At 39.1% G+C, this 25933-nt stretch overlaps 1 protein-coding gene across 42 annotated transcripts in view; it reads right to left on the bottom strand.

Moving 5' to 3' along the window:
* The window catches only part of SORBS2 (sorbin and SH3 domain containing 2), a 370850-nt gene that overhangs the window by 9214 nt on the left and 335703 nt on the right, over positions 1 to 25933 (bottom strand). For all 42 annotated transcript variants that reach the window (NM_001394255.1, NM_001394267.1, NM_001394264.1 and 39 more), the window contains 5 exons: positions 25327 to 25415; positions 23849 to 23895; positions 20309 to 20423; positions 20095 to 20223; positions 17044 to 17244 (listed from right to left, as the gene is read on the bottom strand). In NM_001394255.1, coding sequence (NP_001381184.1) covers positions 17044 to 17244; positions 20095 to 20223; positions 20309 to 20423; positions 23849 to 23895; positions 25327 to 25415 — 581 coding nt within the window. The remainder of the gene's footprint in view (positions 1 to 17043; positions 17245 to 20094; positions 20224 to 20308; positions 20424 to 23848; positions 23896 to 25326; positions 25416 to 25933) is intronic.

The raw sequence follows: 25933 nt of genomic DNA on the forward strand, positions 1-25933 counted from the left end.
AACATGTTTGTTGAATATATAAACTCAGTGTAATTTATATTGACTACCTAAACTTTACCTTTTAGGGGAGAAATGCAAACAAATCATTCATAATCCATTTCAAAAGCATTTGCTTCTAAATGATAGCTACAGGGTAAAATCAGAATTTGCATGGCAATTATATAAGTGACTGTTTGATGACTACTGAAATAGCTATTAGATCCATGTCCTTAGACTTTGGGACCAGTTCTTAGATTTCCATAGTTATGAGTGGATTACTGATAGGCTGAAATCTCTTGCTGCCAATTGTCCATAGAAACCCCACTGATCCAAGCTTGGATGGATAATTCTGAGGTTCCTTTCAGTCTACGAGTCAATGATTCACCCACTTCCTAAATTCTTTATCCACCCCCTTTCTATCCTACTTGTCTATCTAGCATAAGACTAGGTACTCACAGTACTAAAACTGTAAGCTCTGACTCGGTTAACTGGAAACCTTTATTAACAGTGTTCTTAGAAATTTCACTCAACAGTCTGTGGATAGAATATTTAAAACTAGAGTGCGTAAGAATTACTGCACACAATTATGACTTAAGAGTGAAATAGTTTACTCCTGTAAATCAATATGACTACTAATGATGTATCTATTATTAAAATTGGAAGATATTCATATTTTAAGAAAAATTATGACTAACCAGTTTTCCAACCATCTTAAAGGTCATTTAATTCAAGATATTATTAAATCAATTTAAATATATAAGATGGTAATTGTAAGTCATTGATAAGCCTGTATCATATTACCTATTTCAAGTTCTCTTCCAGTCCAATAAAACTTTATATATGTATAAAACTTTCATGCAGAAGTAAGATTTGTATACATCAATTGCCATTAATATTATTTTGTAATAACTTTCCAGTCTTTTTTTCTCAGTCTTCTTTCTTATTTCAAATGTCTGCAGAATAATGTTCTCCCACGTGTGTCTACATATCATAGTTTTCTTAACCATTCCTCTCTTTTTTTTTTAGTTTTGAAGTTAGAATTGGTCTAGTCTTTTTTTTTTTGCTATCATAAACAGCAATGCTATACACATTTTTTATGCAAAGAGCTATTTTCTTCTTTTGAACTATTCTTTAGAATATATTCCCAGGAGTAAAACTTCTGGCCAAAGAGTATGCATTAAAGCCATATGATTTTGAGAATGTACATGTTAGTCACTGAAAAATACTGTACTCAAAAGTAACTTGAAAATGTCTAATATGCCAGACTGCATATCATATACCAAGATAGCTACTACTCTTTCCCCAAAACAATCATAGCACCATTTGCAGTGCATAATAAAGTTATGAATAAGAAAATATTATTTATTCTTGTCTTAAGAGAAAATGTTGTGTAAAATATATTTCATTATGCTCTAAAATTGGCATCCCTGTTTTCACACATTTAAACCATTTTAATATTTTAAAATTGAGTAAAAGTTTCAACTTCTACATCATGGCATCCAATGCTTTGTAAAACTGGTTAGTTTCATTTCATTGCTCTTTTGTTAAAATGTGAATACCACTTTAAAAATCAAATTGTTCATTAATGTAAAACAATCAACTTTTAAAGTCCGTATATCCCTTTTTAGTTATCATCATTATAATTCTACTAGTTTAATTCCTTTAACTCAACCCACCTCATCAATCATTTAACTGAACTGTCCCATTGACCATTATGAAAATTTGGTGATTGCTGCAAACCTGCAGCTTCCTGGATCCCACGTCCATGGCTGGAGAACGTATGTTCCTGTGTGGGGCAGCCAGCACCGTCCTTGCTTTTTTTTTTTTTTTTTTTTTTTGAGATGGAGTCTCACTCTGCCACCAGGCTAGAGGTCAGTGGTGTGATCTTGGCTCACTGCAACCTCTGCCTCCCGGGTTCAAGCGATTCTCCTGCCTCAGCCTCCCGAGTAGCTGGGACTACAGGCACGCACCACCGTGCCCAGCTAATTTTTGTATTTTTAGTAGAGACAGGGTTTCACCATGTTAGCCAGGATGGTCTCGATCTCCTGACCTTGTGATCTTCCCGCCTTGGCCTCCTAAAGTGCTGGGATTACAGGCGTGAGTCACTGCGCCCGGCCCCCGTCCTTGCTTTTACCTGTTTCCCAATTTCTCTTTTCCCTTCCTTCATATCTTTCAAACCCTGCCCCTCTTTTTACACACAAATCATCAGTTTTCTATACTGTTCACATCCTGAGGCCAGAATCAATCAAGACTTTTCGTAGCAGAGAAGTTGTGTGTGTCTTATAATGGCGAGTTTTAGAACTTTTCAAAGCTTACCTTTAACAAGAATCACCTCCATGTTAATGTGGATAACTAGGAGACAGTTTTGAGGAAAGCTGACTAATTACAGTACTTGAAATAGTTTATTTTAAAGGCATTTGACTAGTAGGGAATGAGTAGCAAGAACAGTTATCTAAGACGGCTCATCTGCGTCTTTCTGTTTTGGGCGTTAAGCACCATATAACCTTGGGGATGCCTCAGCTTCCCTATCTCTGAAATCAATGAGTTGGACAAGATGAGGGTTAATCGGGTCCCCTCAGGGATTCCATGAAGGATACACATTTCCACAGATGTATTTCCTCTGCTGTGTAAAGGTGTCCGTCATCAGTTTTACACAGAGAGCTGGGACACTGACATTGATTGGTTAATTCTCATGTGTCTCGGTCACGTAAAAAAAAATAATGGTTACAATTCAACTCCATTTTGCAGAATGGTAAACCAAAACCCAAAGATACTGGATAATTTCTTAATACGACAAATAGGTAAAAAACAAACAGAAAAAGAAACAAAATGGTAATTTCGATGTGCACGCTATTGCATGAAAGATTACTATGATGGACTACTTGGCCTACCTTGGCTAAAATCAGCATCTTAATTTTGACGCTGAGGTAGGTGCAAATGTCCTATAAGGTGATGTAAATAGATTATCTGGGGAGACTGTCTTTCGCCCTTTCCCCTTGGTGATGTAACTCAAATGGCAAGTCGCTTAAGCAGAGATTTGTAATGCAGCTGCACTCTGTCGCCACCTAGTGGTGAGCAATGGCAGCAACAAGCTGAGAGTTGTTTCTGCTTTATCTGCCCCTTTTTATCCAAGTTCCCAAGGCTGGAAAAATTTTAAAAGCCTATTTTAAAGGCCGCAGAGTGATGTGGAATAGACAGTCATCTGTTTTCCTAACCATGTTCTTCCCTCCCCACGTTTTAAATTTTTGAGAAAGCATCCCTTGTAAAGCCACCAGCATTTTTGGTCCGTGTCCATTTCTATTTTGACTATCTGTGCAGGCATTTCCATTTCCCCTAACTTCTTAGCAGTTTTAAGATAAATATAGAACAATATACACTTGTGACATTCAGAGAGGCTTACATGAGCTGAACCTAGAAAGATGGCTTTCAACTGACACATTACAATCACTGTGCTGGGCATTTTGAACAAGAATTATATTATGCTTATATTTCCTTGATGAATCTTAAGAGTAGAACAAGAGAAAAATCCAGTGAAGCATGCTGCGGTTTTCATCGTATCCTAAATATGTATTTTTTTCTGTAGCCCTGACTATGTAAGTATTTTTCTGTAGCTATTTTTTAATGTTGTCAAAAACGGATACAAAAGAGACAAGTTTTAAACACATGCTAATTTCCAAAGCCAGAACCAATCACAAGTTGCTGTTCATAAGGAAGCTGGTTTGAAACATCATGGAGTCTGTAACATCAGTAAAATATATACTTTCCGATCTTAGTGAGCTACAGTCTGTTGAAAAGCCGTCTAATTTATCAAAGCTTCTGCAGTTATCTCTGGAGGATTAGCTATATTTAGTATCAAATAATTCTTAAAGAAGGATTGACTGTTACTTTAAACACTAATGCAAAAAAATCTCTGAAAGCAATATAAGCAGTGCTAAAGTGTTTTTATCTTTTTTTATAAAATATTAGTTGTCATATTTGCCCACCAGAATTCGATGAAATTCTCCTAATAATACCACGTTTATGTTTCTAGAGGCTTATTTTTCCTTCTTAAATTATGAAGGTAAAACACAACTTTGCATAAATCTAAAAAAATAGAATATTTATGGTTCACACAAACACACGTGTAATCTGACATACAAATACATAATGTAAAAATCAGGCAAAAAATAAAAAAAAAACCTTAAGGGGAACACAAGCATACCATCTCGTGGACCCACAGGAGGGTTATAGATGGGTCCTTTTCACTGCAAAAGAAGCTTATGTTTTGCTTTGGCTCTGGAAGGCCATTCGGGGGAGTCTAAGAGTCTCTACAAATTGGCATTTCTGTCTCTATGGCAACACAAAGCTCTGCCTCAGCAACAAAATGAGGTCTTCCTATGCAATGCAAAAAGCACAAAGTGGCATGAATGCAGAATAATATCGACTTTTCTTTAGAAATAAAAAATGAAGACTTCTGTGAAATCAAGCCCTTGAGAACTTCTTGAAATGCAGAAGCACGGCCATGCGATAGGCCAGTCAAGGTTGAATCCGGGTCCATTAAAACAGAAATGAGGAAAGGAATCCTGACTTATGTCCAGATGAAAATTTCCAAACTCCTTGGCTGCATTCCTTAGAATTGATAGTAAGTACCATTTAGAGTCCATGTATTTTAAAGTACTGTAGATACTATGGAACGAAGTAGCTAAGGGAAAGTAATTTGACCTTTAAGTTCAATCAGAGCTGGCAAGAAATAGGAAGTGGATAGAATCCAGACAGCAGTATGGGGACAAAAGGCAGACTGAGAGGATGTAGTGCACATCACCAGAGAAACAGAAGATGTTAGACAAGAATCATGGATTTAAAAAAAATCCAAATTGAATGACACAGAAGCAAACATGACCGGAAGTGTGTGAGTTCGGCACTGTAGATGCTTGGCAACAGTTTTTTCTTTGCAGGAGAAACGGTGACTAGAAAGCAGTGATTTAGTGTAGAACCATGAGACAGATGTAGACCACAAAACACACGACACTCTTATTTGTAGAGTAGAGAATCTGACCATGTCTTTGTGGAGTTTGGAAACCTCACACACACCTAAAAGGGAAGCACATCACCAGGTGGTCGCTTCATCTTCAGGGTGTCTCCAGCCTCACTTTAAGGCCAGTTCACAGCAAAGACAACTAAGGAAGAGCCAGCCCTGGGGGCGGGGGAGGTGGCCAGGATGCCTGCCACAAAGTGGGGGCATGCTGACCCTACCCTGTGGGAACCGCTGAGCCCTCTGACAGGTGAGCCGCAGAATCTCCTAGACATCACTGGGCTACGAGGAGGCTTACCCAGGACACATATCTCGCTTTTTACGTCAGCCTGGAAAATGTACAAGAAGTTAGTTAGCTCTCATCTTCGTCACACAGACTTCAGGAGGAGCTTTCCTGGCTGGCTTTTTCCATGCACACACAGCATGCCAAACTCCTGCACAACAGCAGGGCAGGGAGGGTCCACAGCTTCTCCAGCTGCTTATACAGTTTCCACACCACAGGCACCAGCTGCCATCTTAACATGGCACCCACAGGCACAGCAGAAAAAGGTTCACAGAGGAAAGCTGGCATAGGGAAGAGGCCAAGAACATATAAGAAATGTTATATCTTTTTTTGTCTTTTATTTTTTTGAGACGGAGTCTGGCTCTGTCGCCCAGGCTGGAGTGCAATGGCACAGTCTCGGCTCACTGCAACCTCCATCTCCCGGGTTCGAGCGATTCTCTTGTCTCAGCCTCCCGAGTAGCTGGGATCACAGGCACCCGCCACCAGGCCCAGCTAATTTTTGTATTTTTAGTAGAGACAGGATTTCACCATGTTGGTCAGGCTGGTCTTGAACTCCTGACCTCAAGTGATCTGCCTGCCTCGGGCTCCCAAAGTGCTGGGATTACAGGTGTCAGCCACTGCGCCCGGCCAAGAAATGTTATGTCTTTCATAGAATGCTTAGCAATTGGGTTCAAGATGCTCTCAAACCTGCCCTGCTTTTTCATCTTATTGAAGGGATGCAAGGTGAGATAGAGGAGAATTTGGCTTAATGCCTGTCAAATTTCATGGACTGTATCAGACATTTGTTGGAGGCAAAATTTTCTAACACATAAGAAGAAAATAAGGCCTTTTTGGGGGGAAACATGGTGAAATTTGATGAACTACTGAAGTGCCAACCTGTGGGCTGGACTGTTTTGGTGTTTTTTTTTTATTTTCAGAGTAAGATCTTTCATATGACAGTGAGTAAGCTGACCTTCTTTTGTGTAGGTTTTATTTTCCTTCCAATAGCGGACAGGATCTGGCAGTGTACTGCCTGGTATTTGATCTGGCTTAAGAGAACTTCCGGAGGAATAAAACACGCTTAAATAAAAGCATGTGGTTTTCTCAACTCTCATTTAGAAAAGTTTTCCTAATTCTCAGTAATGATTGACCTCAAATCCCCAGCCTCTCGGGATGAAATGTGTTTGGCACCGTTGCTTAAGTGTCGTGGCAGACGATGCTTGATGCTCTCCACATCCATTCTCTTCTTGGTCCTCAGTAATGGGGCCAGGCTGTTGGGTAGGCACATGGCCATTCTGGATAAAGACCACATTTCCTGACTTGTAGCTGGATGTACTCATGTCATAAGCTGAGACCGAGGGGATATATGCAATTCTGGGACTTGGCCTTCAAGGGAGAAGGTGTAATCTCCCATCTTTTCTCCTTCCTGCTGGTTCGTGTGAGAAGGGAACTACTCGAGCTGCCACCTGGGACCCATAGCGGAAGCTTCTCTCTGAGGATGGCGATGAGCCCACATCAGATGGAAACTCCTGGGTTCTCTGATGACTGCGGGGCCACCATACCAGTCCCGGACACCCTTCATTTATGTGTAAGAGCAATATATTTCTACGTTGTTTAAGCTATAATTATTTTGAGTTTTCTGGGACTGTGCTTATCCCAGTCTTGACTAATACAGGGGTTCAATGCATATCAGAGCTCTTAGAGAAAAAAAATAACCCCATTTAGCTTTTAGAATGATGTGGATCATAACAGCTGGAAAGAGCACGTGAACATATTAGGAAAAATCAGGGCCTGATTTCATGTTGAAAACCGTGCGCCGGGGATCCCCTTCTGATGGGACTGCTTTAGGGTGACGAGACTTCCTGGTGGGACCACAACCACTGAGTTACTTGGAAGAAACCTAAAAAAGAGCCTCTCACTCTCCTCACAGAGCTTCCGCTGCAACTTGAGACCACATGCGGCAAGTCTCTTGCAAAATAGTCTCTCGGATGGAAATGGAGGCTCAGCTTATAGAGGAGCTGAGATTTATACTATTTTTTTTGAGATGGAGTCTCGCTCTGTTGCCAGGCTGGAGTGCAGTGGCACGGTCTCGGCTCACTGCAACCTCTGCCTCCCGGGTTCAAGCAATTCTCTGCCTCACCCTTCCGAGTAGCTGGGATTACAGGCACCTGTCACCACGTCCGGCTAATTTTTGTATTTTTGGTAGAGACGGGGTTTCACCATCTTGGCCAGGCTGGTCTTGAACTCCTGACCTTGTGATCCACCCACCTTGGCCTCTCAAAGTGCTGGGATTACAGGCATGAGCCACCGTGCCCAGCCAATTTATACTATTTTTTGTTATGAAAAAATCATTATTTTAAAAGCAGATGCTCAGAAGACTGGGGGAAATATTGGATTCAGATTTATACATTAAACATAATTTATGTATCTTTCAGTCATCTGTAATCTATAAAGTGGTAGGAACTTTTACGTTTATGGAAGATTCTGGATTGCATTTACTTTTATGGAGATTGTCATTGTCTTAGAAAACACTTTAAAGAATGAAATTGCACTGACTTAACATGAGTTAACTAAACAATGGTTGATGGGGTTGATAAAAATGTTATTACAATGATTTCATGCGTGCTATACTATGTCATTAAAACATTACTAAGAGTTTATTTTCTCTTTGCTTTCAGTGCTGGGTTATTTCTTTTCTTTACAATGAGCATCAGCATTCTTGAAATGGAAGAAATAAAAAGGCTTCGGACTCAGATTGGCAGAGTTTGTAACTGGGTCAGATGCAGAATTAAACTATAATGGCCTAAAATTACGAGTTGATTCAATTTGTACTTAAATTTACAAGCACAAATAACTTCAGTGAATATATTCTTTCAATGACTACAAAATAGATTTATAAGGTTTAAAAAAACTCAGTGGGAGATTCAAAAATTGAGATTTCCTCCTAAATAGGAGATAAAACAGAGAAAATCACTTTGATTTGCTGGAGTTAGTCAGAAGTATCTCATGTGGTCATTAAAATATTCTTTTAAAACATAGTTATTGTGAATACCTCCATTCTCTCATGTCATTCTGCAAACAACGGAAACTTAAAGAATATACGAGAAGAATTTTGTTCTTGCAGAAGAGTAAACCTTTTTAAATCCTGGCTTTGTCCTGATGCTACGATGGTGCGTCCTCCGTCTTTCCAAATTAGAGAACTCAGATTCTAAGGCTACTTTCCCTCTTATTGACTAAGCTTAAAAACCGAAGAACAAGTTAAAAAAAAAGACAAGAAATAAATACCTTGGCCTTAAAAATAAAACCACAGACAGAAGAGAAAAAAAGAGAAATTCTTAGCCTTAGGCATCATATAAAGTGGCATTATTTAAAACATTTCCTAATTATTTTCTGCCAGCTAAGAAAAAAAACCTCAAAGAGCAAAAGCAATTAAAGTGTTTCATTTTTTACAAAGTTCCTTTCACGCCTAACAGGAGCACATAGATAGACTATGTCAGCGAATGGGTTTGGTGGTAGTGGTTTTGAGATTGTATAAATGGCACTTCCTAATACAGAACCTTAGCTGTATTAGAGCCCTAAATTTTTACTTATGTGCAGAGGCTCTCATTTCACATTCAAAAGACTGAATGTGAGGGTGAGCTATTGTTTGAAGTCTGTCACCTTTTTTCCAAAGGAAAATGTTTTAGGATCATTCTGAACATAGAAGGAAAACATTTCAGTGATGGACTAATTTCATGCTGTGGTTGTCATTAAATCTCTTTCCAAGGCCAGTCATTAATTTTGTTAAAATAATTTTTTAAAAATAGTATCTTTAGGTTAAATACCAGCGGAACTGTCAGCCTGCAAGTCTCAGAGATGGATGCTTTGTGAAGTGCTACAAAAGGATGATCCTTCCCACATCCTCATGAATTTACGTCACTTTTGTGGAAGAACAAGGCTCAAGACAGTCAATGCCAAAGATCATCCTGTCTCCAGGCTCTGCTGAACCTGCCGATCGGTGGGAAATGACGGGAGACAATGAGTCCACTGAGAGGTGATGGAGAATGGCAGGCACTGAGCTAAGATACCTTAAATGTGATGCTTCTCATGCTGACGGCCAACTGAAAACAATCTCATCATTACTTCTTATTATGATATACATTTTAATTTGTTTTTCTCCTCAATCTGGGTATAGCTGCTATGCAAATATGTCTTTTAAATGTTTGGATAGAGGCCACGCCCATGATGTTAAAAGTTAGCAATCAGTATTTATGTAACTTCGTAGGTCTTGTGAGAGGGCGCAAATCTGAATGCATACATCTTACTAATTAAGCTCATTGAAGACATGCAATAAACCACACTCAAGATGCAGTTACCTTTAATTTTGGTGGATTGATCTCCTGTTGATAAGAATATTTAGGGAGGAGAGGAGGTGAGCAGGGCTGAGAAAGTGTAGAGTCCAGGTCAGAAACAGAGGCGAAGAGAGAATGAAATGGAGGGGAGGAAAGCAGGTGGCTGGGAAAGGGTGTGGGTGCTTGCTCTCCCGAAGAAAATGACGGAGGCTTAAATATCGAGGAAAGACGAGAGGTGATTATGCTTGTCTCAGAATGAGGTTACATGCTCTTTACGGAATTTCCTCTCAACTTCCAACATTTTAAAGTTACTAATAACCTTGGGAAGTTATATTTATGACAAATTTTTTGCTTTGAAACCACTAACTTCCTCTTTTGAATTTGATTCAAAATCCCCAATGGTATGATCAGTTTAATTTTTCGCATGGGGGTGGCTGGAGATAGGAACACCTATATTCTATCATTTTCTCATATATTTATATGATGGCTCCTTCTAAAAGTGAAGGAAAAAAGTATTTAAAACCCTGCAATGACTGTAACTTGCGTGTAAAGTAGGTTGCCAACTATAGTCAGCGTGTCACAAAGCTGGGGAAGCCGTGGCCCCGCGTGCAGGGTGTGAGCTGGTGCTGGGATGAGCCGGCCTAGGGTACTGTCTGTGTCAGCAAAGCCACACATCTAATCACACCTTCAGATTGATTGAATTGAAAGGAATATTAGTTACTGAAATAATTGATGTAGAGACACGTTTGGCTCCTTGCAATGAATTATCTATCTGTTATTAAATAAGGTGTTTGTTTTACACAAATGCAGGCCTGGCCGGGTTATTTTGAAATACAGGAACTATGAAAGAATTTGACTTGGATAGTAGCGTAATAGGAACCATCCTTTCTGTTATTTCATAATTTCTATAATTGCCAGTAATTATACTTGCTTCTTAATTCACAGGGTACATTTGTGGGATCAAGTTTCTTTTTATTTTTGAAATGGAGTTTTGCTCTTTTTGCCCAGAACGGAGTGCAGTGGCACAACTTCAGTTCACTGCAACCTCCGCCTCCCGGTTTGAAGCAGTTCTCCTGCCTCAGCCTCCCGAGTAGCTGGGATTACAGGCACCCAACACCATGTCTGACTAATTTTTGTATTTTTAGTGGAGATGGGGGTTTTACCATGTTGGACAGGTTGGTTTCGAACTCCTGACCTCAGATGATCCACCAGCCTTGGGCTCCCAAAGTGCTGGATTACAGGCGTAAGCCACCGCAGCTGGCCTTAAGTTTCTCTTTTTTTTTGAGATGGAGTCTCGCTCTGTCACCCAGGCTGGAGTGCACTGGCACGATCTCAGCTCATTACAACCTCCTCCTCCCGGGTTCAAGTGATTCTCCTGCCTCAGCCTCCCGAGTAGCTGGGATTGTAGGCACCCACCACCACGCCTGGCTAGTTTTTGTATTTTTGGTAGTGACGGGGTTTCACCATGTTGGCCAGGCTGATCTCAAATTCCTGACCTCAGGTGATCTGCCTGCCTCGGCCTCTGGAAGTGCTGGCGTTGCAGGCTCGTTTTTTGTTTTAAGAGAGAGGTTTGCAAGCTAAAGTTTCTGGATATTTTCTGCCTTTGTTGATTAAAACCACTGTTCAAGATTCTTCATAACATGAAGATACAGTACCCAGTTCTTAAGTAGTCAATGTGAAGTCAACACAAAGAGAACGACCTCTTTAGAAAATCGAAAGGGGACAGAAGTGCTGTTTTTCTTTTCTGTTGTCTTTGTTTATTATTAGCATTATTATTTTTGCAAAGTGCCGTTATGTCAAAGGTATGGTGTACAGTTTCTCATCCTGGAATAGGACAAATTTCTGGGCATCAACTTCCTCTTCTCTAAAGTGGGGATGATAATGTCACACACCTCACTGGGTTTTGACGATTAAAGATGTGGAGTTTTTAGAATAGTGTCTGATACTCAGTAAGAGCTCCACTATTAGCTATCATTGTTAATATTGGAAGATTACAAAGACTATATCAATTACAAAGACTTTTACAATATAAGTTTATGGTCCTGAAGAAAAATGGGATAATGGAATTATATCACATATTTACATCATTTAATTAAATATGGTGTGTTTTCATATACCCACTCCACCCCCATCTTATATAGTATTTGTGTTTTTTGTTTAAAAAAATCTGTTAGTCAAAATAGGTATTTATTAATATGATTAACTCTAATAGCTAATCATGGTAAGGCCGGTTAGTTCTTCCATAATCAGACAAAATTAAAATACCTCATTACTGGGTTTTGCTGCATTGCTGTCCTCCTTGGGGGTCCTAGGATCTGTGGGGGTGGCTATGGGGTGTTTTAGGCAGTTGGGTTTCTCCTCCTCCTCCTCCTCTTCAATGTGCAGGTGTGGGGTGCCCTCTGACCCATCGTGGCCACACCACCAGGCGTCTCCTTCCTGAGGTTCTGGCGGCCCTCTCTGGATGCCTGACACAATCCCCTCATAGATGCCCTCATCTTCCTCTCCAATGACCGGAAGGGGTACAGGCAAGGAACCCACGCTGGTGCACGCAGAGGCCACAAAATTATCCCCTAGGACTTCTGGTGCCTTTTTAGGGTCTGAGAAGCCCCTTCTCATTTTTCTCAACTCTGCAAAGTTGCTTTGAGTTGTCGTTCTGGGATCCTGAAGAGGCTCTGCATGGTAAGGCTGGGCTGCAGCCGAGGCCACACCCGCGTGAGTGGAAGGTGATTCGGCAGGTGCAGTCGCTGGGGACAATGGGAGGAGGACAGCAGGTTCCTCCTTAATTTCCAGGATGGCGTCCTCTAGGATGGTTGGTTTGGCTTGGTCAGCTGACAAGGTTAAAGCACCAAGCTTCTCCAATTCACCCAAGAAGTTGTCCAGGAAACGAGGTGGTGTTGGGGCCAAAGGGTTTGCTGGTAGACATGAGGCTGTCAGGGACAACCAGCCCTGGCCAGTTCCCTGGAGAGCTCCTTTATCTGAGCCAGGTGAGACTTTGTGGGTGGGAGGAGGGGCTGGTTCACTGGAAGCCAACTTGGAAATGAGCACGGATTATGAAGTTAAGAAAAAATAAACTAAGAAAATAATAATAATGCATCAAAACATAGCGATGGAGAAATGCAGAAAAGATGCGGTGGTGAATATGAAAATAATTTTATGTTTAACATAGATTTGAAGACATTTAGAAGATATCTAGATTTGAAGGTATTTTGCTGAAATTTAAATACATAAAATCATTTATGTTAATTAGAAAAGTTACTTCACAAATGAAACTCTACTAGTTTTGGAAGGGGTCTTAAATGTCAAACAAGATAAAGATGATATAGAGATTACCAGGACAGTAAAACCTTGAGAGATTTATTTTTATTTATTTTTAATTTTTTAAAAAATTTTTTAGAGATGGAGTCTCGCTGTGGCACCCAGGCTGGAGTGCAGTGGTGTGATCTCGGCTCACTGCAACCTCTGCCTCCCAGGTTCAAACGATTTTCCTGCTTCATCCTCCCGAGTAGCTGGGACTACAGGCGCATGTCACCAGTACAGCTAATTTTTATATTTTTAGTAGAGACGGGTTTCACCATGTTGGCCAGGCTGGTCTTGAACTCCTGACCTCGTGACCCACCCACCTCAGCCTCCCAAAGTGCTGGGGTTACAGGTGTGAGCCACCGCGCCTGGCCCTTAAGAGATTTAATGCTTACTTACTTTAAACTATGTTGAAAAGATATTACAGGTTTCCAGATACTGACTTAGTAGAGTATAAATGACTCCAGAGAAATGTTAATGTAGAATGAAAACTAATAGTGAAGTCATTTTATTTCCTGAATGTGTGTAGTGTTCTCTTGTCCTGCAGGATAGCCCAATCTTTTAAACGCTGACAATTTTCTCACTTATGTTTGCAAGGTGATTACAACATATGAATAAAGTATTTTAGATCATTATATGTTAACAAATTTCTAAGTGAATAAGTTCTGAAAACTATGTCTCAAAGACAGGAACCCATGATCAGAATGAAGCTGAGCTTACATAACTACGGCTTCAAAGTTTTAAAAAATCCAAAGTAAATATTTACATAGAAAGCTCATTTGATGCTAACGGGAGGGAGGACTTCTGCTTCAGCTCCCGTTCTCTTTCAAAGCTTGACATTTATGTAAATCAGAGGAGGTATGAGTTATGAAGCTTAATCTTCTGAAGTAAAATATACTTACTTCTACATACGTAGTATTACTGATGTATTTTGGATATAGTAAATGAAACAATACATTTGAAATTTTATGCAAAGGTATTAAAAGTAGTTCTGATAAATATATACACCCCATATGTACCCATAAAAATTAGAAATTAAAAAATGTAGTTCCAGAAGTGCCACTTACTAACATTGGAATACGTTTATCTACCCTTACCGGACTAGAGAAAATGCTACCTGCTATGTGCCTAAAAGCCTTGAGAAGGGACCTTTCACTTTAGGTCTCTCCAGGTAGATGTCTTTGATTTGGAAAGAAAAACATCTCCAAAAAGATTCTGGAGATACACTTTCCAGCTGATTGTTTAGGATAACACTTTACACAGGGAAGCAGCCCTCTTGCTCCTGGGGACTTAGTGTGTGTGAGTGGGTGATGCATTTCCTACTTAACTTTTGACTCCTGTGTCCTATAGTAGGAGTGGGGTATTAATTAGATTTATTTAGCTTTTTTTTTTTAAGTCATCTTATCGTGGGATGACATAAATATCACAAAACTCATGTGAGCATCTTAATACAGGATTCAGGACCTGGGCTGCTTAGCTGCTGACACACAGTGAGACTGCACGTGTGGTTTGCGCCTAGGTAGACAGCCACTCCTGTTAAGTCCTGTAGATGCTGAGTTTTCAATGATATAAACCACTCAAGTCTCATTCAGCAGTCTACAGAAGTTCCCTTACTAGCTAGAGTTCTAGTTTATACCCCTTGTTACATAACACAGAAGTTTTCATAGTTAGATTTGGAAAGTCTGTGAAATATATAATAATTTCAGACCATCAGGTTTCCACTTTCACTTTCTGTTATGCCAGGAATATTATGTAGATGAGAAAGAAAGATCTTGAATTCCCTTGTCATTACTGCCACCATCACCATTGCTATCTGATGCTGCGACTACGCTGTGCCGTCACCACCACAGTCACCGAAATACATGTCAGCAGGTTAAACTGCTTAGCTTTATGATGGACTTGCTTATACCGAAAGCCAAATGAAGCATCCTGGTATAACTAGATCACAAACCTATACCTATAATACAAAACCCATACAATTATTTTGTTTTCCAAAAGCATCAGAATTGGATTCTAATGCACTAAAAGCAGAAATATCAGAAATAAAATCAACATACATTTTAGTCTCCCCTAAGACAAAGACAGTATGTCAAGAAATGTGATTTAAATGTGTCACCAGAGTGATTTATAAATTATTAATGAGTTCTCTGTTTGTAAATATCAGTTAGAAAATAGGTTCTGTAGCGTTTAGTATATTTTGGATGTTATCATTTAGAAATACATTATATTTATCTTTCTAAAAATGGTTGTCACTTCCGGGAAGTTTTCTTCATTAAGCCTGTGACATCACAGCATGGATTACCAGTTGGGATAAAACCATTAAGTATTTCTTCCTAATTATGGACATAAGCTTCTCAACATATTTTTTCCCCAGCAGTGAGCAATAAAAAACTGGTTATTAGTGAAATTTGTACATGCCTCTGTTTAAAATCTGGTATTACTTTAAAAACTTGAAAATATATTCAATTACAGTTAAATTGTATTCACATCAAAGATGAAAACATTGGGATCAAAAATATTATATTGCCATTAAATATTATATTAGGACATATGGAAGAATTTGTTAGATGTTTAATGAGCTTTTGTACATACATGCTTTTCTTCCTTACAACATTTTATTTGAAGGTACAGTTGCTTTGAAATTTCTGTGATAGTTATTTAAAGATGACTGAATGGTGGATAAGACAAATATATGCATGAAGATTCTTATCTTTTCTCTTTATCAATAGAAAATACTGAAGGAAGGATGCTGATCTGTAAATGCTAAGGTCTGGTAATGAAGTAAATATACTTAAGAAGATTCTGGAAAACTATAACCAATCAAGCAAACAAAATTGGATAGTACCAAACTCTTCCATATATTATCCATGAATACAGGGTTGAGGGTAATTATTTGCAACTGAAACTCAGTCTTCAAAGAGGATCACAATAAATAAAATGCCAAGACTTCAGCCTTCTAAAAAAAAATGCCTCTCTTAAGATGGCAGATTCTTAGATCATTTCCTCATATAAAATCCTTCTCAGGCTCATTTTCAAGAAGTAGTTTAGGTCACTGGGATGCTATCTTGAAACAGTTTTTTCATCGGAACATGAAGTGACTTCACACTTTAGTAACATCTGATATGTTGATTTTATTTTACCAGCTCTCGATGGTTTAGCTTTTCATGTCCTAGCCTTGATCTCAATTAAAATAATTAATAAATTAGGCAACTTAATACATTTTTTGAATGTTGAGAAGTACTTAAAACATTTTGGAAGTCATTGGCAATTTAAAGTTTTATTCCTAGAAGTTAATGAGAAAAAAGACCCTTACATGCCTTTCATAAAAAGAATATAATTCATCAGAAAAATAAGAAAAAATTTCACATTGTGAGTACAGACAAATAGCCTTTTTACATTCACCAATTAAAGAAGCAAAGCCTCTTTTAAATTACGTATTGAGAAAGATAATCATCTTTAGCCCGCTCAAGTGAAACAGTAGAACTGGCATATAACTGTCCTAAAACTGATAAAACAAACTTGAGGACTTATAATAACCGACAACATTTTCATTTAAACTAATAAACATCTTGACTTATAGACTCTAATTAAAAATTTTTGCTCTAGCTCATTTTCCATATAAAAAACTTGTATAGATTTGTCAACCTAATAACCCGGTGTTCTTGTGATATACTATTTTGAGATATACATAGTATTTTGTGTTGTGTATATTTATATTTCAAATTATAAATCACAATTGTATATACATGTATGAATATATGATTATATTTATTTATATGTAAAGATTATATTATATACATAAAATTTACATATATAAAAATGAAGCTTTAGGAAAAAATTATTTCAGAAAACATTTATGTACACAGGAGTACAGATATATATCATACGAGACTTCATGATACTCTCGTTTTCTCTTTCTCTTTCGATATTTTAACTTGAAAATGAAATGAGCAAAATTAATCATTAAATCTTTATGCCAGCACCTATTTGAGAAACACTGACTTATATTTACTGATGTGGCACTCACACATGTAGAAACATAATATGTAAATCTCTTTCTCTGCAATAGATATGATATTCTAATCTAATATCCTAAAGTCACACACCGATTATCTTACTTGGAGCTTCCAATATTACATTAACATGATAGAGTATGTTCTTACCTTATTTGAGCTCAAGCTGTGAATCCTATCACTAGAATAGCTGTGGGGTATTGGAGGGTCAGGGTAGTCCTCAGCACCTTTTGTGTTCTTCTTGACGACCTCCACATAGGAAACAGGGAAGATGCCTTGTCTGTTGGTTCCTGGGATTTTACCTTCATACCAGTTTTGATCAACTCTTTTAAGAAGAATAACTCTATCTCCCTGTTATGAATATGAGAAAAATGCATTAGAAACAGAGATAGAATAACATGAAAATATAATTGTCAATGTTTTCTATGAAAAAATAGGTTTCCATTTGGGCAGGTTTTATACCTTCAGTTTTTGTTTAATCAGGGGAGGGCAAGTAAGGTACTAGTGCTTACTAGAAAAATACACATGATCAACATATATGTAATTGAAATGTCCATTCAGGCCATCAGAATCTTCCCTAAGGATGCCTGATTAATGTGAACGGGTTTATACTTGTTTATGCTGGTATTGTGTGAAATTATTTGTCTAAGTTATTTCAAAAAGCAGAATAGTGTAAAAGGTAATGTCTCAATGACAATAGGATTATTTTATCTCTGGCAGGTTCAGTGCATTGGCCTTCTGTAGGAAGAGCTTCAGAAAGTGCACCATAGCTTGCTGTGAGGGTCTGTCTGAAATGGGTTACAGAAAACACCTCTAGAAGGGAGAACATCGAATGGTACACCGTTTTCTTTTTTTATTTCTATTTTTTTTTTTTTTTTGAGAGGGAATCTCACTCTGTCACCCGGGCTGGAGTGCAGTGGTGTGATCATGGCTCACTGCAACCCGCACCTCCTGGGTTTAAGAATTCTCTTGCCTCAGCCTACCAAGTAGCTGGGATTACAGGCGCCCGCCACCAGGCCCGGCTAATTTTTTGTATTTTAGCAGAGATAGGGGTTTCACCATGTTGGTCAGGCTGATCTCCAACTCCTGACCTCAAGTGATCTGACCGCCTCGGCCTCCCAAAGTGCTGGGATTGCAGGCATGAGCCACTGTGCCCGGCCCCTTTTCTTCTTTAATCTACATGCGCTAAGTAGTGACAGAGTGAACTAAAGGGATGGGGGAAAGAGAGCGCCCTAGAATATCAATAGCTGTGACAAGACTGGCATTCCCCTGGTCTTCACCCTGACAATGGAAACCCAGCATCCATCTGAGTAGTTGGTGACCATTCCATACTTGTCATTAAAGATTTGAATAGAACCCTTGGCTTTCACAATGATAGAACTTTCTAGAATCACTTCCACCTGCCATGACCGAGCCAGTGCTGCAGAACTCAGTTTAAACTTTAACTCAAAACTACACGTAGCCTAGAAGTAGGCAGGCAAGTTGATGCTACCGGGCAAAAACTGCAGCTGCATTCAGCAGGTGATACAGAAGCTCGGGCAGCGGCACCTGATGGTGTGATGGAGCTGAAACAGTCATTAATCTCAGCCCAACAGGGCACCCTTCTTCAGGTGCTACCCAAGAAGAACTTCGACCTTGAGTAGCACTTGGAAGTTCTCTTTGTGTTGAAACGCTGGATGGTTGATTTTGTGTGCTTCACCACCGCTGAGCAGAACATACTCAAGAAAAGTCAGTCTCAGGCTGGATGCAATCGCTCACGCCTGTAATCCCAGCACTTTGGGAGGCCAAGGCGGGCGGATCATGAGGTCAGGAGTTCGAGACCAGCCTGGCCAACATAGTGAAACCCCATCTCTACTAAAAATACAAAAATTAGCCGGGTGTGGTGGCGGGCACCTGTAGTCCCAGCTAATCGGGAGGCTGAGGTGGGAGAATCGCTTGAACCTGGGAGGCAGAGGTTGCAGTGAGCTGAGAGCACACATTGCACTCCAGCCTGGGTGACAGAGTGACACTCCATCTCAAAAAAAAAAAAAAAAAAAAAAAGTCAGTCTCCCCAAATCTGAAAATTGCACCGATTTTCTAGTATACCAAGAACAGGTAGTTGCTAGGCTGTTGTGTGAGCTGTAAGAGGCATTGGTGAAGCCTTTCTGTAGAACATGGAACAGGAGACAGAGTTCATGTAATGCTCTGTGGTTCTCATGCTAGGTGGGGCAGCCCAGAGGATAGGAAAGAAGGAATCGGCTGATGATGCAGAATTAAGACTGATGGGAGAGAATGAGACAAGGTTCTGCCAGGACCAGAACAAACCAGGACTGTGGTATTGCTCTTCATCGCACCTGGCTAAGGATTTCACTAGTAGGTGTGGGAGGTCCTAGAGCCACTCTAAATATTACTACCTCGCCTGTGTTGTGTGCAGAGGCAGTTACCTCAAACAAATATATGTCATATTTAGAAAGCAATAAGAATAATTCATTTATCATTCTCAATTATGTAAACTAGCAGGTTAAAAGAGGTTTTTGATTGTTTTTTTGTGTTTTTTTTTTTTTTTTTTTTTTTGAGATGGAATCTCGCTCACCTGCCTTGGCCTCCCAAAGTGCTGGGATTACAGGCGTGAGCCACCATGCCCGGCCTCGAGGCTTTTGATATTATTAAGAAGAGATACTAGGATTGGATGGGCTGCTAGAGAAATTTGGGTCAATTATGAGGCCCAAAGAAGGATGATCCAGGGAAGAGCACTGCAGAGATGGCTCTTAAAGCGGCTCCCCCAAGAGGAAGGATCTTCTTTACCTAGGACCATTCCTAGATTCCAAGATAGAGGAAGATAAGGATTGGAATATCTTGTTTTTAAAAGACTGAAAAATAAGGCAGCAAAACAACATATTTTGAAGTGTATCAAACTGCTTTTTCCTTTTGTGCTCCCGAATGTATAAGTCCTTGATTTTCAGCCCCATGCCCGGCTTCCCAGACTAAGCCACAGAGGGAGAAGCCTGGTATCCCACGGGGAACTCCTCTAAAAGGACACAGGGACCAGCAGGGAACCGTGACTCTGGGCTGCCTTAAAGAGTCCTTTGTAGAAAATAGGGTAAACATAAAAATGTCTAAAGAAAAAGATAACCTATTTTAGTTTTGAAAATATACAGCCTTTTCAAACCCACTGAAGAACAAACAAACAAAAACAAACAAACAAAAAACCAGCTGGGCTACCTTTCTCAGTGACAGCTCCACATTTGTGTCTGCGTTGAAGTTGTATTTGGCTATAGCTTCTCCGATTTCTCCGGGCTGGGCTGGCGGAGGTGGTCTTGCAGGCTGTGCTTTCTCAGGAGGTGTGAGTTTCTATGAAGGAAATAGTCATTTATTCTCAAATCTGCGGTGACCTTTGAAACCACCGCCATCCAAGAGAGAAAGGGAGAGGACCTACCTCTACGTATGAGATCGGGAAGATGCCCACTCTCCCGTGGTGTTCTCCCTCATACCAATTTTGATCAATTTTCCTGAGGATGTAGACAGTATCTCCTTTCTTAAATGACAACTCCCTGGAAGAGACACGTTGACATGGTCTTTTTGTGATGTACAGCAATAATTCTCAAGATCAACACCCTCGCTAGATCTGCATTTGTTTGGCAAATATACTTACAATATTAAAAAATCCAATTGATATTGAGTCCGATTAGATAAGAATGATCCTTGCAAATTCTTAGAATGCACTTAAAACATTATAACTTTAGAAATGATTTCAAACAGAGTAAGTATAAACATTCCATTGGATATAAATCACAGACAGATTAATAAGAAGTTTAAAGGAGGGGACAGACTCTTGCTACTTTACCATTAGTTCAGAGAAGAGGCATTTTGAAGCTTGGAAAAATGATGGAATAGTTCTGCACTGATTTTTTTTTTTTTTGTCCTGAAGCTAGTTGGCTAGTTAGTTACTAGCCCCCCAGCCCCTTTTGATGTACTGAAGCTTACATGAAGGAAAACAAATATCATGTAGCCTCAGAATAGAAGTGCCAACACCAGAACAAATTTTATTTGTGGATCTTTGAAGTTGGTTGACAGGTATTTTAATAGAATATCTTGATAAGGAATTTATTTTGTGTAACAGAAAAGATCTTACACTTTTAATTTTCAGTGGGGCAAGAAGAATGTGTTTTAAGTGCAAAGACATATGCCAATGCTTGCCTTTCTATCTTTTATTTACAAAAAATAAAAATATTTTTAAGACACTATATTTTTCAATTTTGGCTGTTTCTAAGAAAATTGTAGGTATATTTGATTTGGGTATTTATAATTTTAAGTTATAATGACATTATGCATTTTGAATAATTCACACCTAAACTTATCACCTTCACTACATCAATTTTTCCTGGCTTAATCACCCAGGTGATTAGGTTGGTTCATTATTTTGCCTCCGCAATTATTCTTGGATGGAGGGCGATTAATTTGTATCTTCTCCCAAGAGCCTCATTTTGCAATACATCTGCCCTCCCACTCTGGAATCTTCTGCATTGTTTTGTTCAGAATTTTCATTTTTTAATCTTTTTTTAAAAAATTTTGGTTCAGAATTTTCAGTTGGATCATTTATTAGTATAGGCCGTTTGATGGAGAGAGATTTATACCTGATGGAGAACACTTCTCATTGATTAAAAGAATTAATCGAAAAAATGGTGGTATATTAAAAGAATGATCACACATTTAGAAGTGCTAAAATCTTCACAATTGAAAATGTGTTAAATTTTCAGTAACCCTAAAAACAAAGAAGATTCATGGAGCTTTACATTCAAATACAGTGCTTCCTTCTTTTGTGCAAATGCCTAATGTAAAAAACAGAAAACAAAGCAAAGCAAGATATTTAATGTTCACAACACAACAGTTTCATTTGTACTAGGTATGTTTTGTTTCTGGAAATGAGACTAGCTTTTTAAAATATAATATGAACATATGAATCAGAGGCAACCAATTTTTCAAAGCTATGAAAAAGACTCTTTTGTATTTGTATAGGTTGCATTTAAAATTTTGAAGTCCTTAAGACACAGGAAAGTCTTACTCTTAAGTTTTCAAAACTGTGTCCCTCTCATCTCAGACCTAGAATTTTAAAGTCCCATTTGCTTTTTTCCCCTCACTTTTATTTTTATTTGTTTTTGAGATGGAGTCTTGCTCTGTCACCCAGGCTGGAGTGCAGTGGTGTGATCTTGGCTCACTGCAACCTTCACCTCCCAGGTTCAAGTGATTCTCCCACCTCAGCCTCCTGAGTAGCTGGGATTACAGGCACCCACCACCACCCCTGGCTAATTTTTGTATTTTCAGTAGAGACGGGGTTTCACCATGTTGGCCAGGCTGGTCTCGAACTTCTGACCTCGAGTGATCCATCTGCCTTGGCCTCCCAAAGTGCTGGGATTACAGGCATGAGCCACCGTGCCCAGCTGCTTTTTAAAATTAAGACTTCTCAGAAGACCTCGTGAGCCTTGGGTGGACACCCTTCCTACTTCACATCCCCTGCCATTCCTCAGGTTTTTATATATTTAAGAAAGCTATGGATTGATTTTTACAAAGAAGAAATGAAACGTGTGCTCCGTAACATTATTTTATAAAACTGATATGCATTGTACAAATTGTCACACCATATCCACAGAACAGTAGTTAGGACCGGAGTACAGTAGAAACAAAGCATCTTATTTCTCTAATTTGAAAAAAAAAGATGTAAGCTTTTCTTCAGGCCAGATTTAAGCCATGTTCAACATCTTAATTTCTAAACAGGATTTTTCTTATCTAGTTCATTTCCTATCTCAGCAGCATTACCAAATTCTGAGTGATTTATTTATATATGTCTTCTGCCAGAGACAGTTTCTAGAGCTATTAACTCATATTATATGCATTTTTATGAGTAAATTATTTTGGTTATTATATATATATATATTCAGTGTAAACAACATATAATAATTTAATGACAATTTACAATGAATTCAATATCTGTCTTGAATTCTACTGGAGAACAAAGTTTCTTAAAGGTCTGTGCACATAGGCCACAAAAAATCTGGGCAACACCCTCTTATATATAAGTCTGCTTATGTGCTTCCGCAACCACATGCCTATCTGCTGAGCAAAGAATAAAGGCAAAAGAAATATTGCAATTCAGGATGGTGAAAACACCGACACCAAAAGACCAAAGGAGAAAACTTTGCTCAGAATCTCTGAGCTTTGCAGGCTGAGGATGGAGACTTCAATACAGGAATCTTTGTACTAAGTTCTAGTCATCAACCCCACAAACTATGCTTGGAATATTTGGATAAATAAATGTTATCAAATTCCCCCAGCTAGTGTTAATTACTCCCCAATACTTTATTTATTTACTTATTCATTCTTTTTTTTGAGACAGGGTCCTGCTCTGTTGCCCAGGCTAGAGTGCAGTGGCGCAACCTCAGCTTATGGCAGCGTCTACCTCCCGGTGAAGCGATCCTTTTGCCTCAGCCTCCTGAGTAGCTGGGACTATACAGGTGTATGCCCCCATGCCTAGCTAATTTTTGTATTTTTTGTAGAGACATGGTTTTGCCATGTTGCCCAGGCTGGTTTTGAACTCCTGGGCTCAAGCCATCTGCCTGCCTTGGCCTCCCAAAGTGCTGGGATTACAGGCATGAGCCACTGTGCCTGGCCCCCAATACTTCATTAATTCATTATTGACACAAAATTCTAAAAACAAATATTCCTAAATTCTTTTTGTTTTTCCTATCCTTTAGAATTCATTGTGTTCTACCTAACATGTTTAATGTAATTTAAAACTCAGTAATTCTCAACTAAACTTAAAATAAAAGGTAATTCTGAAGGAACCATTTAATTAGAGTAGATTGCTGCATTGGGAATTAGACCTCATTTGTAACAGATCCTACTGCAATGCTTATCTCTTAAAGCATTACTAACATTTAAAACCACCTTAAATCATATGATGAGTATTTATCTTACTTACTTAGATGTCTGAGCCTTAAAATCATAAACAGCTTTTGCAGGCAATTTCTGAAAAGGAAGATAAACAATTAGCACTAATTTAAAATTTGAATTTTCTACAAGAAAGTAGTTTAATGTGCCTTAAAGAAAAAGGAAACCTCAGGGAATCATCAAACATATGTAATGTTAATCCTGTAAGCAATTTATAAATAAGTCCATTCATTCTTCATTTAGATATTTAAGCTATAATAGGAATATAATAGAAGGCTTATTCACCATCATATTTAATCTTAGGAACTAAGGTAGATTAATGTTATAATGAGAGAATAAAATGCCTGCAGAGGTTTGCATCCTAGGCATCATTTTGGCTGTTACAAAGGCTCTTCCTAGGATAAATGTGGAGGGTCAATGGCTCTATGTTCTATGGAGATTGACACAGCTCCCTCTGAATCATAATAAAAGGACCAGATGTCATAAAAGAAGTAATCATTCCCTTCATTAGACACTTATTAACATATTAGCAAAAAATATTAGCTCAATTATCACTGGGAGGCTGGTTAGTGGGCAAAAGTATAGGTGTGATCATCTTGCATTCCCTAGAGGGCTCAGGAATCCTTCAACACTCTGTCCACCAGCCACTCGTCTTTTAGTTGTGATGTGATGTGACACGTGCCCATCCTCAAACTCTGGGGGCCACAGATCTCCCTGAGGTACCCTGTACCCTATAGCTAGCTAGGCCAGCTCTTCCTTCCTCACCAACCAACAATCCCTTCACTCCATTCTTTTCCCCCATGACTCTGGTGAACTTTAGGAATCCTGGACCATTTCTAACTTCTTTGGGGATCCCACAGGCTCTGGACTACATCAGACGCCTATAAGATCCTCTGGAGCGGCTACCAGTCCAAGTCCAGCTTTTAGTTTCCATCCAGCCGTCATGGCTCCAAGGCAGTTTGAGCAAGAACTCTAGCCCCGGCTCAGGGCCCTGGACAGAGTTCAGTTGGTGGGTGGTTCCCAGGGGCAGTATCCCGAGAACTGGGCTGGTTAAAAGCTCTTTTTAGGGATCCTCTCCAATAAAAGGAAGCCAGCAAAAATGATTTCTGTAGGCTCTGTATTGATTTACAACACAGTTGACATCAGGCTTTCTCCTGGACCAGCGGGCCAAGAAATTGTAGAGGAAACCTATTGCCTCCACGAGGTGCCCTAACTCAGGACACTTTTAGGTCATAATGGTTAAGTTCATGGGCATCAGGTCAAGACTCGGAGAAGCCTCATGGCCAAAACTGGGCCACCACTAGGGAAGACCCACAGCTAGGGTCAGGGTGTGGACTGCTTCTAGGGTCAGAGTTGCTATGCTCAGGCCCCAAGGAAAATTGTTTCTAGTTTCTCAGTATTTTCACATTTCCTGTCCGAGTTCGTTACTGGTTTGGGATAATTTTTGGCTGGTAAGTGCTGTATCAAGTGTGTTGCTGTGAAAGACTCCAATGCTATTAAATTAACTACCTCTTTTTCTGGAGTTCCTCTTCTTTCCCTTGGTGCACTTCTCCCCATGTCAGTCAAAGTGGATGAGTAACTTCTAGGGGACTCACGGTCTATTGGAAAGAACAGGGCCAGTCATGGTGAGTATCCACTTAATTACAAGCCAACCTGTTCCGCCATTTTCCCTGGTGGCCACTACTTTTTTCCCCAAATTTGGAGAGACACCGTTATCGAACACATGGGCATAAAACTCATAGTTCATTACAAAGTTGTGAAATAAGACACAAAACAAGAGCATTTCAAAAGGAAAAATATCTGAGGTTGCAGAATTATAATTGTCTATATAAATATGATTACTACATTGCTGATTAATTATATTGCCACACCCAGTAAGACAATTTATAGTTAGAGGGATTTTTCATATAAATTTTTTCCAAAGCTTTCTGTTTCTATGCCTTTGCTTCTTATTTATAATTACTATTATAAGATTTACAGAGGATGGAGAATTTGAAAATAGCAACAATTTGTAGAAAAAGAAACATTTTGTGGAGTAATTTAAGACTGTAGTAATGAAAAAGAAAGAGATAAAACCAAAGAAAGTATGAGGATGACAGGAGGGTGGTGATGAACA

The sequence above is a fragment of the Homo sapiens genome, chromosome 4, assembly GCF_000001405.40.
Source record: "Homo sapiens chromosome 4, GRCh38.p14 Primary Assembly".
In the NCBI taxonomy this organism is placed as follows: domain Eukaryota; kingdom Metazoa; phylum Chordata; class Mammalia; order Primates; family Hominidae; genus Homo; species Homo sapiens.